Source organism: Homo sapiens, chromosome 8 (genome assembly GCF_000001405.40).
Source record: "Homo sapiens chromosome 8, GRCh38.p14 Primary Assembly".
Lineage (NCBI taxonomy): Eukaryota > Metazoa > Chordata > Mammalia > Primates > Hominidae > Homo > Homo sapiens.
Window position 1 is genome coordinate 64,251,348 of NC_000008.11, and position 16,702 is coordinate 64,268,049.

A 16,702-nucleotide genomic window follows, 5' to 3' on the forward strand; every position below is an offset into this window, starting at 1 on the left:
TATTATTCTCTTTTTATTTGGGCACAGCTTCAGAGGGTGTGCAAGAAAAATATTGGAAATGAAATTAAACCCAGTCAGATTTTCAATTCGTTAGCAGCTCTGGATTTCAATTGGGGATGAGGTTAAAATTACTTGCCTTAAAATGAGTCTTGGTAATTAGTTGTAAAATTTAATTGCCCGTGCTTTTCCTATTCCCAATTCCCAGACTAAACAAAAGTTTGTTGTATTTCTTTTTGATTATTCATTTCTTCCTATTGAACGAGAGGGAGAGAAGGGCATATTTGCATTTAAACTTCAAAAAAATTAATAACCGTTTTTAACCGCTATCTGTGTCTTTTTAAAATGTAGCATTCCAACACCTATAATTTCAAAATAAAGTGGGAAAAGCATTTCCCAGAGAAATGCTTCCCCCCAATATCCAGTGTTCTACTTATCATTTTTCATTCATATTTAGTAAATAAGGTTTTTAGTTGTTCTAAACTGCTAAAATTTTAATCTACTAAATTCCTATTTGGCTTATGAAAAAAATTTTATCAGGCACTAATTTTATCTCTGGAAATATTTTATAATTCCTAAAACATCAATTTATTTTTGTGGAAATGTCATTAATTAATACTCATTAACGGAAAATACTCATTTAAGTTCTAAGTAAGTTCTTGACCAATTTTTCTTACATCTGTTCATCTTTACCCTATATTTTATTATTAGTTACATTTGTTTGCTTTTCTTAAGGACTTATTACATAATATCTGTTTAAATAAGGCCAAATAAACACTAAACCATTTATCATCTGGGACTCAAATATGTGCTCCTCTAATGGCATGTAAATGAGATCAAACAAAGAATTACGTTTTCAGTCCTACAAACTGCTACAAGCCAGGTGAACATAACAAGTAGAGAACATTCTTGTTGTTCAAGAAGCTGGTTTGGAAAAGCACTGGAGATCTCAATGATGCTCCTTAATTCAAGTTAATTCCATTTAGTTCAATTCAACACATATTCAGCACTTCCTGTTCCTGTTCATAGGGGCCACCGTGGTAGACCACAGCTGATGTTTAGAAATCCAGATTTAGAGAAGACTTTAGGCATCTACTCATTTTGTTTCAAGCTGTGTTCCAAGGCAGTACCTGAAGAGCCTTGAGGGAGATGACAGGGAGGCTGGACGGAGGCTATGCCCAGTGAGCTTCCTCACTCTTCAGTAGGGGATGCCTTGCTTTCATCTGTTTTCCATATCGGAGTACCAAATAAGACTTCAATTATAAACTGGATTTTGTTACAAAAACATATGAAAATCTCTAATTTGGCCCATTTTCCCAAATTTGCGGATGAGAAAACTAAAACTTACAGAGTTAAGTCACTGGGAAAGTCCTTGTAAATAATTTATAGCAAAATTAGAAGCTCCATTTTAATACAGTCTTCAAGTCACCACAACAGTTTGAGTCATGGAGCCTAGATCATCCCCTTATAAGTGTTAGGAGTCTAATACATGTTATAGTGATGATGCAGAATTTTTTTTGTAATCTCTAGGATATATTCTAATGACGATTTAGGAACATCTTTCTAGTGACACAAGGCCATTAGAGGTGATATGAGAACTATGATGTTAAATACAAGAAAAATTATTAAAAGAAAAATAAATGATAGTTCTAATTCTAGATGTATGTAATTCTACCTTTATAGCACACTACAAGGGTCTCACAGAAAACACTTGATGGAATCTTACTAGACTAACTGTATATATTCCTGAGCACACTCCAAGACCTGGGAGAGGCAGAAAGAAAGAAGAAATGCAAGTCTACAATATGAGATACAAAGTTTGAATTTACTGGGAAAGCAAAGAGAACACATCCGAACAAAATAAGAAGAAGAAATGGTGTGAGTATTGTTGCATTGCGAATGGAATGGAGAACAATGAAATGAGGGCTAGAAGCCAAACCGAGGGTGAAGATGGTCAAAATGAGGAAGATAATTTATCTTTAATCAAAAATATAATAATCACCAGAATAATAATAACCATAAGGTAAGTGGGTAACAGATGTGCACTTATCAGCGTATTACCTAGAAAATTTTGGCCTAATTCAGGAATATTTAGTCAGAAGCTTGATTTGATTCAACACCTATTTAACATCTTCTTTGTTGCCGTCATAGTTTCGTTAGGATCACAAATAAAATGAATAGAAAACTTACCTATATCTCAAATAATTTGTCTTTATATATTACTCTTTCATGTATTTTGTATACAAGGCCTATTTAATGACCCACTGTCTGTAAAACATGTATGTTCTGCTGTTTTTCCGGTGGAAATGAACTTGTGCAGCCTCATCTCTATCTCAACACCTGATTTACTTAGTGATGGGCCCTTGAAATGTATTTGGCCGGATGACAGATGCACTTGGTGTCTGCAGAACAAAGCAAAGCTATCTGACTCATGCAGGGATATTGGACCCAGGACTTTAATCTCATTAGCCTGAGCTAAGTAGCTTTATTTCCCCAAGTAAATAAGTTCTACAGAGAAACTAAAAATTCACCCTAAACTTTTACATGCTTCAAAGAACAAGAACTTCATCATACATATGCATAATTCAAATCAACCTAAAGTAAATTAAATATACTATTCACAGTTAGCAAACCTCAGGTTTCAAAATATCATGAAGCAACAAATAAGAAGATAAATAAATGCAGTTTATTCTCTACCCCTACTTATTTATACCACCCTGGCATCAGCCATAACTTCCGTCTGACCTGGCCTATATCTCTTAGGTAGATGTTAGTGTAATTGCTAATAAAAATAATTATTTTCTGTTCCCCTATCTACTTGCTTTCACCCTTCCTTTCTCACCTTGATGAGGTCTTATTCTGAAATACACAAAGAACAAGGTGGTAACATAACATTAAGAACACTAGAGGTGATGCCAGAACTATGACATAAAATACAATAAAAAGTTTTTCTAGGCCGGGCGCGGTGGCTCACGCCTGTAATCCCAGCACTTTGGGAGGCCGAGGCGGGCGGATCACGAGGTCAGGAGATCGAGACCACGGTGAAACCCCGTCTCTACTAAAAATACAAAAAATTAGCCGGGCGCAGTGGCGGGCACCTGTAGTCCCAGCTACTCGGGAGGCTGAGGCAGGAGAATGGCGTGAACCCGGAAGGCGGAGCTTGCAGTGAGCGGAGATCGCGCCACAGCACTCCCGCCTGGGCGACAGAACGAGACTCCGTCTCAAAAAACAAAAAAAAAAGTTTTTCTAAAAGAAAAAATAAATGATAGCTCTAATTTTAGATTTATGTAATTCAAAATTGTAGAGGAACATTAAAATGAAATGTTACACCTAATGAATATTATGTAGCAATGGGAATTTGAATACACATTGCAATATATTAGTTTACAGAAGAAAAAGCAAAAAAATTATGAGCATCACAAAGGCTCAAAACTCACTTTAAGTAACTGAAAACAATTGATAAAAGTTATTCGTAATTGTTGTAACTCTATTTCTCAGTTGGTGAGCATGCCTTAGTGGCCTATTTTATTTAATGTTAGATTGACATTTAACACTACTGTAGTGACATATCTTAAGACGGAATATAATGAGATTACCCAGAAAGTTCAAATTACAAATCTTTGTTTTTATCTGAGACATTCCATTAAGCTACACAGTCTCTGGAGAATAGCACCATTTAAATACGTGATGTTGTGTCACATCAATGCGATCCTTTATTGTGAAGAAATATGCATTAATTCTATTGGAGAGGAGCTCTTTATGAAAGTATTTGGAATCTCCACACCCATTCTTCACTCAGACTTTAAGTAAGAGTTTCATAAATCTTTTTGGATCAATAAACATTTTTCTATTACCTTTCAGGAAAGTTTAAATTTCCTATATTTTCACAGTTCTCTGGCCAATGACCCAGATAATAAAATACATGTTCATTAAATTCATGGCATCAAGTTGGGTATAATGTTTAATACTCTAAGAAACAGTATTATTATTTCAAATGATCTCAACATCTTGCAGAGGTCAGGAACAGAAGAAGGGTGAAAACAGAGTCAACCTCAAAAGCAAACCTAGTACCACAGAACCAGGGATGGACATGGGGAAAGGTAAGTAGGTAAAATGATTCTGGCAGACCTTTATCTATGGTATTGGAGAATTTAAAATTGAGTGATTCAGATAATGAAGGCAGGAATCATTGAGTAGTTAGTTCTCTTAATGCTCCTTGTCCATGCCAAAGTGGTGTTGGAAAGTTCATCCTCTAGAAGAAGAGAACAAGGTCTAGATAAAGGATAGGCAAACTGCATAGTACAGGCAAAATCCAGCTTGCTGCCTGCTTTTGTAAAGAAATAAAATTTTATTGGAATGCGGCCATGCTCATTCATTTTGGTATTGTCTGCAGCTGCTTTCATGTCAAAAGAGCAGAGTTAAGCAATTGTGTCTAACCGAGTGTCTTGCAAAGCCATTTATTTATGACTAGAAATTCTGCCTACCCACAATCTAGATGATGTGTGCACATCAACATTACTTTTGGAATAACTGGACTGGTCAATCTTCCAAATCATTCTAATGACAAGATGGCTTCTACAGAGGCACTTCATTGTTCACGTTGTTACTATCCTTTGAAGTAAACCTCTTCTATTTTACTTCAAATTTATAGATTTTTCTCTTCCTCCACGTATCACAGAAGTGATATGTCTTATTGAGCCCAGGAGTATTAACATTGTGGTAAATTCTGCTACTCACTAGCTGAATGATCTCCAGTTGGGTTCTCTCTGCTCTAATTCTTGTCATTATCCTCATCAACTTCAGCATTGATGGAGCTGATATATTTCACACTGTAGCCTCAAAATGACCTACCTATCTCCAAAATTCTTACTCACCTTCCTTGAGATGTTTCTTGCTCATTTACAAGATAGAAATATGGCATCTATCACCTAAGATTGTTGTGAGAATCAATAAAATAAAATATAGTGACAACTTTTGTCACATGGTAATTTAAAAGCTTTAAATTTGTGGTAGGATCCAAGGTGCTAGTGTGTAGGACAATATCTCCTCTGGCTCCTCCCACTACTATTCCACCTTATCTTGGCACCCTCACTTAAAGGTGTGATTCCATTTATCTGATATCTGTTTACAATACATACTTTTGACCTTTTTGCTTCAATGAAATCTGGGTTCCTTTCCATCTCCACCCCAGTCCCCTTAGTCTTCAAATTCCTTGCTGATATGGGGCAATCATTCAACCCCTCTTTTGCCATTTCTCCTACCTCCACCCTCACCAAAAAATAAATAAGATAAATATGTACAAGACACAGAAAATTGTATTACAATCTACCACATCTTGTTGCCATTTTCAGGCTTCTACTTTAACACTCCCATTCAAAGTCTCTCCTCTTTAAGTCTAATTCCATCCTGCTATACTATTTTCTACTTTTCTTTCTCCCCATAATCTGCCAATTATAGAGCCACATCCTCAAATCTGGTACTGGCTCACATTCTCTATATCCTATCTTTGAACATTAACCTAGTAGATGTTACTCCTTCAAATCATGCATTCAATAATCTATTATCAAAATTTGGGGAACCTCTTAATACAGATGGCCTGCCTCAGCCACCCCAGTTCAGCCATGCACTTCTACAGTACATTTAGACTTTGTTATCACTCGGATTGTTTTGCTTCTGAAATATTTTACTTTGATATCCTGCACTCTGGTCACAGCCTTATATCTTCACATTTTGTCAGTCCCTTACTTTCACTTCACTTGCTCAAAACTCACTAAGACATAAAATAAACTTGTATTCTCTGTTTTGATCACAGTTTCCTCTCTCTCAAAACCTCTAGTTTCATGTCTTTTCCAGTCTAGCACAGACATCCCTCTCCATCATAATATCTTCATTACCAAATGTCATTTTGCCACATCTACTACAAACCCTCACTCTGGTATCAATCCAAACGTCTACCTTCAAGGAATGGGGACCAAAGACAGTCTTAGTAAGAATGGACCCAGTGGAGGGAGGCAGTGAATTCTGGGAACAAATGATATAGTGGGCATCTTATTTTCTCTTTAGCCAACTAATCCTTCTGTGTCCTCAGTTTGTCAATGGTAGCACCATTCTGCTAATAACATAGAGGGTAAATTTCAAATTCATTGTTGACTTTTTTCATATTCTTGCCTATCACATTAATACACTTGCAAAGTATTGTCAATAATTACTTTGGTCTATTCCTTTGTGTTTTCCCTGTTATCATTGAAATTTAAGTTTTCATTACTAAATACCGAAATCATCGCAAGATATCCCAATTTACTATTTTTCCTCACCTCCTACACAGCATTGACAGTATATTTCATAATACAATACCTAAATCATAAGTCTATAAGAAATAACACTCAAAAGCCTCCAATAGATTCCTTCTGCATTTATAATTAATTTCATAATCCCTAGCCTCACTTTGAGGAGCTCTGTAATCTGCTCAACACTGTCATTCTGGTTTCTAATTACACATCATGCACTTACATATTACCTACACTTTTGTTGTCATAGACTTCTTACCCATTCCACAACACACTACATTTATTTCTCTGACCTGCAAGCCCTTACTCAAGCTTTTCTGCCACCTGAAGTGCTCGCTCCACCTTCTCCTCCTCACTTGTGCCTTGTGAAAGATCTTCCTGTCAATCAAGGACTTATCCAAATATCACTTATTTTATAGGGCATTCTCAACTCCTGAACTCTTTCCTCACTTCTATATTCCTATAGCCTCCTGCTGCTCAAAGTATGGCTTTCAAACCAGCAGCATTAGTTAACATCACCTTGGAGCCTGATAGAATTGCAAGATCTTGGGTTCCACCCCAGATTTACTGAATCAGATTCTAGATTTAAAAAAAAAAAAATATATATATATATATATATATGCTTACACATATATACTTTATATATATGTGTGTGTGTATACATATACACATATGTGTGTATAAGTGTGTATATATGTGTATATATGTGTATGTACCTATATGTGTATATATGTATACATATATATGTATATATGTGTATATGCATGTGTATATATGTATGCACTTAGGTGATTTATATGCACACTACAGTTTGAAATGCACTGCTATAGCACAACTGCTATGAGGCAATGGTGCCTTGCATTACTTTGTGTGCATAATTTCAGTAAAAAGGTGTTAGAGTCCAAAAACACACCCTAGTTCCAGTACTGCCTCCACCTTCCTATGTTATATTTTGGAAGTCTCTTAATTTTACTTAATTTCAGCTTTCTTTGCTACGAAAATGGAGAAAATAATACATAGCTTCAAGGGATATTTGAAGATTAAATGGCATTAGTTTTGTGAAAGTACGTTTCATAGTACCTGGTACATAAGTTTAATAAACATTGATTTTATATTTACCTTCCCTATAGTGAAATTTCTTAGAATGGAGGAATTGTGTCTGATACATTTTTCAGGTTCACCAGTGACTTAGGTCAGTGTAAAGCAGGCTCCAGGAGGCAGGGAGCCCGGCTGTTGGTTCACTGCTCTATTTCCACATAGTATATATTGGCAGGGGGCAGGGAGAATGGAATGTCTTATAGTGAATGACTGATTATTATTTGAGAACGTCATTGCAATATAAAACCTATAAAAAGTGTTTAGAAGTAATAGAGTACTTAGTTTGGAGAAGAAAAGCCTTGGATAACTTTAATAACTGAGTTCTAACATATATTTATTAAACAGAGAAGGACACGTTTGACTTTTTTTTCTATTCTTACTACTTCTCACAAAGTATATGAGAAAACTAGACAAACTTTTTAGACTATCATATCCATAATACCACTACTTGTTTTAGAGACCAAAAGATGTACACAACAATATAGCCACAACATGCTAAAAGTATGACATTGTGTGATTGTCCTGTTTTCAGTTACCCAAATGTAACTGGGAGATAGAGCGGAGCTGGTTACCTCTGAGGTCAAGAGAAAGGAGAGTTTTGTTCCTCTCCAATAAGTACTTTCTTGGGAAAATAACAGGTAACTGCCTACATACTGAGACACCGAGGCCTAACTCAATGAGAGAAAAAAATTTTAAATGTCTCCTAATTTTTGCCAACTAATTTTTCAGGTTAAGGTCAAAATAGTTAACACTGATAAACCCCTTTTGTATGTAAAATTAATTTTTTACTAATAAGGATTATTTTACAAACTGGTCACAGTGAAAAGTTGTAATGTTTTCTTTCCTCGGGATCTTTGTGAACAGGACTGAGTTTGACAGGTTTAAATTTGCTGCTAAGAGTTAAATTATTTCCTCTAGCCTTCAGCCCTAGAATCCTGTCATTCTGCATTTCAGCAAGACTAAGCTATGAACAGCTTAAAACATACAGGTAAATAGTTGGTTTCCTTTGCTTCCATGTCCCTAGTCAACTGACATTGGCAATTAACTTTATTCCTATTCTTTAAGAGTCTACAAGGTTCCATGAGCTGTCAGTGTTCACATCACATCCACTGTCCTAAGTACATCCTTAACCCAAAATCAGTATATTTTTTCTTTAGCCCACTGGGACTTAATATGTCACTTCACACAATGTAATTTCCCATAAACCATAAATGACCTTTAATGCGTCAGTGACTGCATCAAATGTTATGATAAATTTTTTAATGACTGAATAATTTGGAGACCATTGTAGAAAAATGAAATGACAAAAAAAGTCAGGAGGAAAATATGAATCATTTAGTAAAAAGGGTTAAAAGGATTTTTCTCCTTGTGTCTGTGATGCCTATAAAAAAGGTAGATTTATGTGCCTTCCTAGCCTCTATTTTACCTCTTCTTTTCAGCATTTAACATTATATGTAATCTACAAAAAGCTGTCTTGAGGCCTAGACCTGCCCATCATCAACCATACCTCAAACCCCACAAATTCAATTCCAGATGCATGAAGAATAATGTAGACCTTTACTGCAGATTTTCCAGAAGGGAAAAGAACGGTTCACAGAAAGCTTTGAGCAGTGCTGAGCAAAACATGCTTAGCGCTTCACCAGTCTCAACCCCCAGGGATCCCCACATAGACTGTGCAGAAACCACTCTGTCTCTCCTACGCACACCCTCTCCATGTAGCCTCCACACTGCTGTGCCTCTCCTCTTCTTCCACCATAAGCCCTACACATGGTCTCTCCGCCAATACTACCCGCTGCAAAGTGCAGCCACGTTGCACACTCTGACTCTTTCCAGCAAGGCCCAGTCTCCTGAAGATGTGGGGAATAAACTTTTAACTACAATTCAATTTAATTTAAAAGAATTACAAAGTGTATAATCTGTGTTCAAGGCCCATGGCTAAGTGCTATGAAAGTCAGGTGAGGAACAAAGAACATTTGCACAGTTTTGGCCCACTGAGAGCATGCAATGTGGTGAAAGCAAAAAAAAAAAAAAAAAAAAAAAAAAAGGAGAAGTACTAAAGAAATATATAATTTAATGTTGTATATTGTAGAAGTGCTGAGAAAAAAACAACTAGGTTGTAGAGAGGAGATGAGAGAAACAACTAATTTAAGTGGGGAGATTAGGAAATGAATATCAGAGAATGAGCCATTGAAGCTATGAGTATAATTTCAAGAAGCAGAAAATGCATTTCATACTGAAGGAAGATGACAAACATAGGCAGATAAATTTAAAAGTACATTATGTGTTTGGGGAGTATCATTGTCATTAAGATAACTGGAGGATAAGGAGTATACGGAAATGGGAGGTTGGTGAGAGATGAAATTGGAAAGTGAGTTTGAATCCATTCAGTTTTTTAACAGATAATATTCGGATGTCTACAGTGTGCCAAGGATACTGTGTTAGATGCTGTGGTATATGATGAGTAAAGGTGCACACATAATTCCTGCTGTCATCTAATTATATCATAATACATGCCATAAATAAACAAGAATTTAACTTGTGACAAGCCATGAAGAAGAGATTAACAGAGTGAGGGCACAATCCATGGGGGCCTGGCATGAGGGCCTACCCTGCTCTGGGAGTTCAAGGGAGGCTTTCTTCAGGGGGGTTATTAAAGTGGAGATACAAAGGATTATATTTCACCAGGCAAAAAGGTGAGAGGACTAGAACATGATGGAATAGCACATTCAAAACAGCACAATATGAGGATAAAAATTGAGACCTAAATCTGGAGATGTAAAAAGGAAACAATTTATGCGTGGCCTAAAGTCTGTCATCAGAGGATTGAGGAATCACTGAAGGTGATGTGTAGTATTGATCTAAAAAAGAAACTTTTTCCTGGATCAAAAAAGTCTACCAGTCTAAGAACTTGGCATACAAAAGATACATGCATATTCCATTTAGCATAAAGAATGCATTTTTATAAGCAAGAAGGCTGAATCAGCAATAACTGAACCATCCCTACAGAGATGAATGCTCTCAGCATCATCTGGAAAGAGGGATGAAGTCACTCTTTCATACTCTTCCAATCCCCTGAAATCATGGCATACCTACATCCTTCTGTGTTTGCAACTATATTTTGTATAATAGTTGCTCATCTTTAATGGTCCCAGGGCTGATGATGTGGAGTGATGGCAGCTCTGTAACCTAATCTAGAGTAAGCAGTACCTGATATGTAATTTTTAAGTGAAAAGAGGCTACAATGCATTTCTATGTCATCAGCAATCACTCAGGGAGAGGACCACATGCTTTCTCAATAGGTGCAAGTATCCTCCCAGTCGTACCTTTTGAAGATTAAAGAAAAAAAATTGGGTGACGGATAGCATTAGGAGATATACCTAATGTAAATGACGAGTTAATGGGTGCAGCACACCAACATGGCACATGTATACATATGTAACAAACCTGCACATTGTGCACATGTACCCTAGAACTTAAAGTATAATAAAAATATATATAAAATAATAATAATAATATATTATATACTTGAAAATTACTGAGAGATTTTAAGTATCCTCACCACTAAAAATTGTATCTGTGATCATGCATATGTTAATTAACTTGATTTAGCCATCCTACAGTGTGTGCATTTATCAAAACATGTTGTACACCAAAAATATATAGAATGTTTATATGTTAATTTAAAATTTTAAAATAAAGAAAATCAGTGGAAATACAAAAAAAAAAATTAGCCGGGCATGAAAAAAAATTGGTCATTACTTCCATGTTGCGCTGATGTTTTTAATGAACTTTATAATGCCAAAGCCCTAGTCCTTAATTGTCTGCGATCTTTACCCGGCTTTTCTTACCATTTCATTAAGTTTCTTCAACCATTTGCAAAAATTAATTTTTATGCTTGGTAAGATATTCCTTGTTTGTGTTTTTTGGGGGTGGGCAGATTCATTACATTTTCTGGCAGCCATCCTAAGTAAAAAATATTCGCAGGAACATACAATAATGACAAAAGAGAGACTGAAATTGAAAGCATTTGCAGGATGGTACACTGACATTCATTGGCAGAGAGAGTAAGTCTAGCACAAACTGTCACCCTAGCTCGTATTGGCTGAGAGGCTCTGCTAGCACACAAAGCATGGAGAGCTATATCTAGACAGTTTATGGTTGTATTATATTTAAGTATGCATATAGGTTATTCGTGGAAAGAAGATTTGGAGACAAATAGCATCATAGTATGTTAGGGGGGTCTTATAACAAATAGGGACGCCAAATTGAGCTTATCTATTTGGATAGTTTGTAATGATACAATCATTTTTTTAACGCTTGGCAATATTTTTGTGTAATGTTAGCAGAACTATAAAGCTAACTTGGTGCATTTAGGAGAATGTATCTCGGTGCACAAATATATGAAGGCATTAGTGAGGTGAGCCAAAAAAGGAAGATTTTTTTGCAATGACAAAAATGACAGCTCCAAGTTGAGAAAAGACTGCAACTAAAAGGAAATGCACAGGGTCACTCCTGATAACTTCTGTTACAAGATCTGCTCTTCAAGCCAATAACATTATAATGAGCAAACACATATGCAAATGCATAACTAATAATCAGGGCTAAAGTAATGTGTGGTCTTGTGAGATTCACATGGAGAGGAGTTGGGGGTAGTGATATAAAGGATTTAAATAAAGCGAGGACAAAAAGCGAGATTACAAAAAGGGGGATGACTTGAGTGATAAATACAGAGGAATCCAGAAAGCATGGGATCTTGAGAACTTTAATTTTTTTTTGTATGCTGAGCATTACCTTGTTCATTTTCAGTAAATGAACAATGTCTAGGCAAAAAGAAAATGGCATTTATTCACCTGGTGGCTTTTGTTCACTGACTTAGACTATAGCAATTGTGGTCACTTCTCCTTTTGAATGTTCCTCCTACCCCTTGATACCTCCAAAGAACTCTGAGTCAGGCCAGGAGAATTAGAATAAGGAAGTCTAGATAACAGTATTAGGAATATGTGTTTTTGGGAAAAATATCCAGTTTCAGTTTGGAAAAGAGATTTAAAAGGCGCAAGAACAGATTAAGTGAGGCCAGCACAGACATTACAGCAGCAGCCTAACCAAGAAAGGATGGTTTCTTGGACTAGATCGTTTCATGTCATGATAAATAATTCTATGCTTATTTTTCTATCCCTGATCAGCCATATTGAAGTTCCACTGCACAGCAAAGCCTGAACCGTCTCTTATTGACTCAGCTTACATTCAAGAAGAAGCGCTTGCTTTTCTTTCCCCACTCCACGCTATTCCAATCTGTTGCCCTCTGATATTCCCAGCCGTTTGCCGAGTCACATTCTCTACTACCCTTTCACCACACACTCTCACAGCTGCTGGGCAGCTCTCCAAGTCCTCTCCAGTCCTCAACGCTCCAACTTCATCTGCAGCTTTAGCAGTAAGGTGCCAGGGAACAACTACTGATAAAATTGCCTTGCAGGTGCCTGGCATTGTTCATTGCTATTTCACGCATCCTAACCATAATTCTTCAAAGAAAACCTTGTTCCCACTCCCTGGATGCAAGAAAAGGAGCCTTACAGGGAGCAAAATACAATGACCGGACTGATTTGAACCCACGTCTGTCTGACCTCAAAGTCCTGGATCTTCTCACAACATTGTGCTGCCTCCTAGTGGAATGTTTGTCTTTGGCCTACTTTTATAGTGCACAATACCAAAAGAAGTCGTTATAATTTTTAACTGCTTTTAAAATAAAAAGAATGTTGATATCTAGTTCCTGTACGGGGCATGCTGTGGAGCTTAAAAAGGGATTTACTTTCTTCTTAGATTTTCAGCTATCTACTGTTGGTGAGAGAGGGTAGATCAATAAGCTGTCTGCATCAAATCCTATGGTTACTTTTTGTGGGGAATAGAGCATCTTTTTTTTATAATTCTAATATAAGGTATCACATGGAAATCACTGGGCATGGCTTAATAAAATGATCCTAGGATGATAGATATTCAACAAAAACAGGATGGAGGAATGAACAAAAGCTCAAAATAGCAATGTTACTGAAATAACAGTAACAATACCACCTACTCTGTACCAGCAGTGTTCACATTACTTTTCAGATGCTGAGCCCTTTAATCTCCTATGAGGCAAGCATTCCTGTCTATTTTATATGTGAAGAATCTGAGGCTTAGAGAAATCAACTAACCCGTCCAAGGACACAGAACTCATGAGAATAGAAGATGGAATTATAACCCAGGGTTGCATTGCTTCAAAATTCTTGCTTTTTCTACTATGTGATTCTATCTTCCTGCTTAGAAATCTCTATACAATAAATTAAATAAACTTTTAAATGTATTTTGTAAACCACTACAAGAAATACCATGAGGAAAACAAAGATGAATGAGACAAAAATAAATTGCGGTGGCTCCCCTCCAAAAACTCCCCAACCAGAAAAAGACTTCTAAAATATTTAGTAAGCCTTTCTGACATTCTAGTGGCCTAACCATACCTTTAAAAATCCATTTCCCTTATCCCAATGAAGGGTACTTTTCTCATTATATACTTCCCATTTTAACTTAAACAGGAAACCAGTTCAAAATAAAGTCATGGATATTTTTAACTTGACCTTTCTATCTGTATATATACATATAAAGATATAGATATCTTTATGTGTATCTATATGCATAAATATTCATTCTACATATAGATATATGTATTAGACCTAAATTAATTAAAAGGTAATTAATTTTTAAGTCATTCATATACAAATAAAGACAATAATCTTTTTTTAAAACAGTTCATTCTTTATACAAAATGGGAAAGTAATGTAGAGAGCTGCTTTTGCTTTGTATGATCAAATGAATGGACTCAATGTTATTAAAATATATGGCAATTTTATTATTTCTTCCCTGTTCATTCAATTCACTAGTCATAGCATCATCTTTCACTCAGAAATATGTATAAGTCAAATTGACATATTCTATTTTTTAAAACATTAACAAAGTGCCAGAACAGTCTCACACATGGTTCCATCACAGCTAAACTTGATACTTTTTCCAAAATGACTATTGAGAAAACAAAAACAATGACTTCCATGTCCATATTATATTGCAAGTATGGATAGTAATTTTGATGACTACAGTCATATGTCAACTAAATATATATCCAAGACAATTAACACATTTTATTTTGATCATCAAGTATCAATCAAAAGACAATGACCAGCACTCATCAGTGACTAGTTCTGGATTTGAACTGGTGACCTGAAAGTAACAGGCTTTTTACTTTCTGGTCTTCAAACCAGTCCCTAAAGTCATACACTCCCCCAGTCTGATATCCCCAGATTAGTAACTGGACATGTAACAAAGCAACAGATGGCCTCTAGATTTCTAAAGACGTAATGTTGAAATAGTTTGTCTTTTCTTTTTGGTCTTCCTTTGCCTTTCTAGTTTGACAATTAAAAAAAAAACACTTATTTTATAGCATCCTGTTTAGATGCTGCAAGTTGAATTTTTGCACAATCAACCATCAAATATGTTTCAAATGGAGGAGAAATGAATCTTTGCTGGAGAGCCTTTGCAGAGTAATGTGATCCCTAGAGAGTCAGAGCAGCACTCAGAGACAGATGCTCAGTGAACTAACTATCTCCTGACTGCAGGGGTGGCCTACCTCCTGTACAAATGTAAAGCCCCATGAAAGCTAAAAATAAAGGGAACATAGAAAAGTAATGTAATGTGTTCACCATTTTGGGCTTCAGAAGTGCACTGGCAAGATTCCCCTTGGGATCACTCCACTTTGTAGTTTGTTTCTCTGTATGTCCTACATCATTACCTTCTTTCAGACACCTGAACAGTTCATGTTTCCTTAACCGGAGCTATGCCATTAAGAGCAACCCCCAAAATCCTTCATTGCAAAGAAGGTCATTATATAGTAGATGGAAACCTTAAGAGGAAAAATCCTATATCAACTGGTGGTATAATCCCCAAGGGGAAACAGACTTTAGTTGAACAATCAGAAACCTGGCTTGCTTTATGGTGTTTACACTGCTGCTTGCTAATGGATCACCATAAAGGAAGCAAAAGGGCTCTTACACCATTGAGTAGGCTATCATGGGAGTCTTCTGAGTGTGCCTTTTTTATTTGCTGCAGTCAGGTTAATGAGCTCACCAGCCCACTTGATGTTGAGGACTTTGTAACAAAGCAATCTCTCATTAAAAGCTGCCTGGCACCACTCTCTTGAAGCAAAGGGACATTCAGATTATTGAATGCCTTTGTACTCCTCATTCCTACCAGGCTATGGAGTCCAGCAGTGGCATCAGGCCCACACACTTCCTGGCAGGCATCCAGTCATCCGCCTGCCCTCTTCAAACTGCATGGGCATTTGCCAATCTAAGCAGCACTGGTAGGCAAACAAGCATGGCACACGACTCCTTTGGAGGAGAGCCAAATGTGCAGCTGAACAATCTAATTTGTTTCTACTGTAGAGGGAAACATTCTTCCCCATTCTTTCCTATTCAGTTGAATTTACATGTAAAAGTTTTGTTATGGTACAAAGGAATGTGCATTTATCTACATTTCCTTTCTGCTTTTACACCTTTTTAGTCTCAACAGTGTAGGTCATGATTTTGTCTGTGGCTTTATTTTAAGTACCTCCTGGCTGACAGTTTCTTCAATGAAATGACCCCAGAGTGTTATCAGCTAGCTAGCAGGTGTGTCTCTATTCAGAATCTTGTAGACAGAAGTGCATCCTGGGTAAAGAGCAATCTATGCACACAACCAGATCTTTCCAACATTACTCGTGAGATTTAATGGTTGGCTGTCCTAAAGAAAAAAAAAAAAGCTAAAAAAAGATTTTTTTCAAGTTTGGCTTTTTTAGAGTGTTGATAATGCCCTGAGACATACTATGCTAAAATAGGATTACACAATTTTTTAAAAAATGCATTTTGTTATGTTTTAATAAACAATTGTATCTTGTTATTAGGAATTTCTCTTTCCAAGCTATTAAATGCTTATTTTTTAAAACTTGAGAGCACATTGAACAGATGCTCAAAAATTAAGTGTAATTTTAGCCGTGGTATCACATTTGAGCAAAGATGAACATGTAGGGGTATTTTGAGATGAATTAAATAAAGCTATAGCCATAGTTATATACTCTTATTCTATTCAGTTTTCAAATAAAATCTGCACAAAATTCTTCCCACTATTTTAGGATGGCTCCTCAAAAAAATTTTAATTATCATAATCTTAAAAACTCAGAACATTTTAGAAATCTGCACATACTCAGAAAGAGGCTCTCCTATCAAATCTAGTGAAAATAGTCTACCTATATCCTTAAATTT

General features: G+C 36.2%; 1 long non-coding RNA gene across 1 annotated transcript in view, besides 1 other annotated feature; it reads right to left on the reverse strand.

The window, feature by feature from the left end:
• Positions 1 to 16,702, reverse strand: part of LINC01414 (long intergenic non-protein coding RNA 1414) — a 511,616-nt gene that overhangs the window by 394,405 nt on the left and 100,509 nt on the right. The gene's annotated exons all lie outside the window — the stretch shown is intronic.
• Positions 2,605 to 3,115: an enhancer, noted in NCBI's record as "H3K4me1 hESC enhancer chr8:65166509-65167019 (GRCh37/hg19 assembly coordinates)". NCBI's record gives its function as "activates a minimal SCP1, AML or CMV promoter by ChIP-STARR-seq in naive and primed H9 embryonic stem cells {active_cell/tissue: H9 hESC(naive and primed)}" and the evidence as "EXISTENCE:reporter gene assay evidence [ECO:0000049][PMID:30033119]".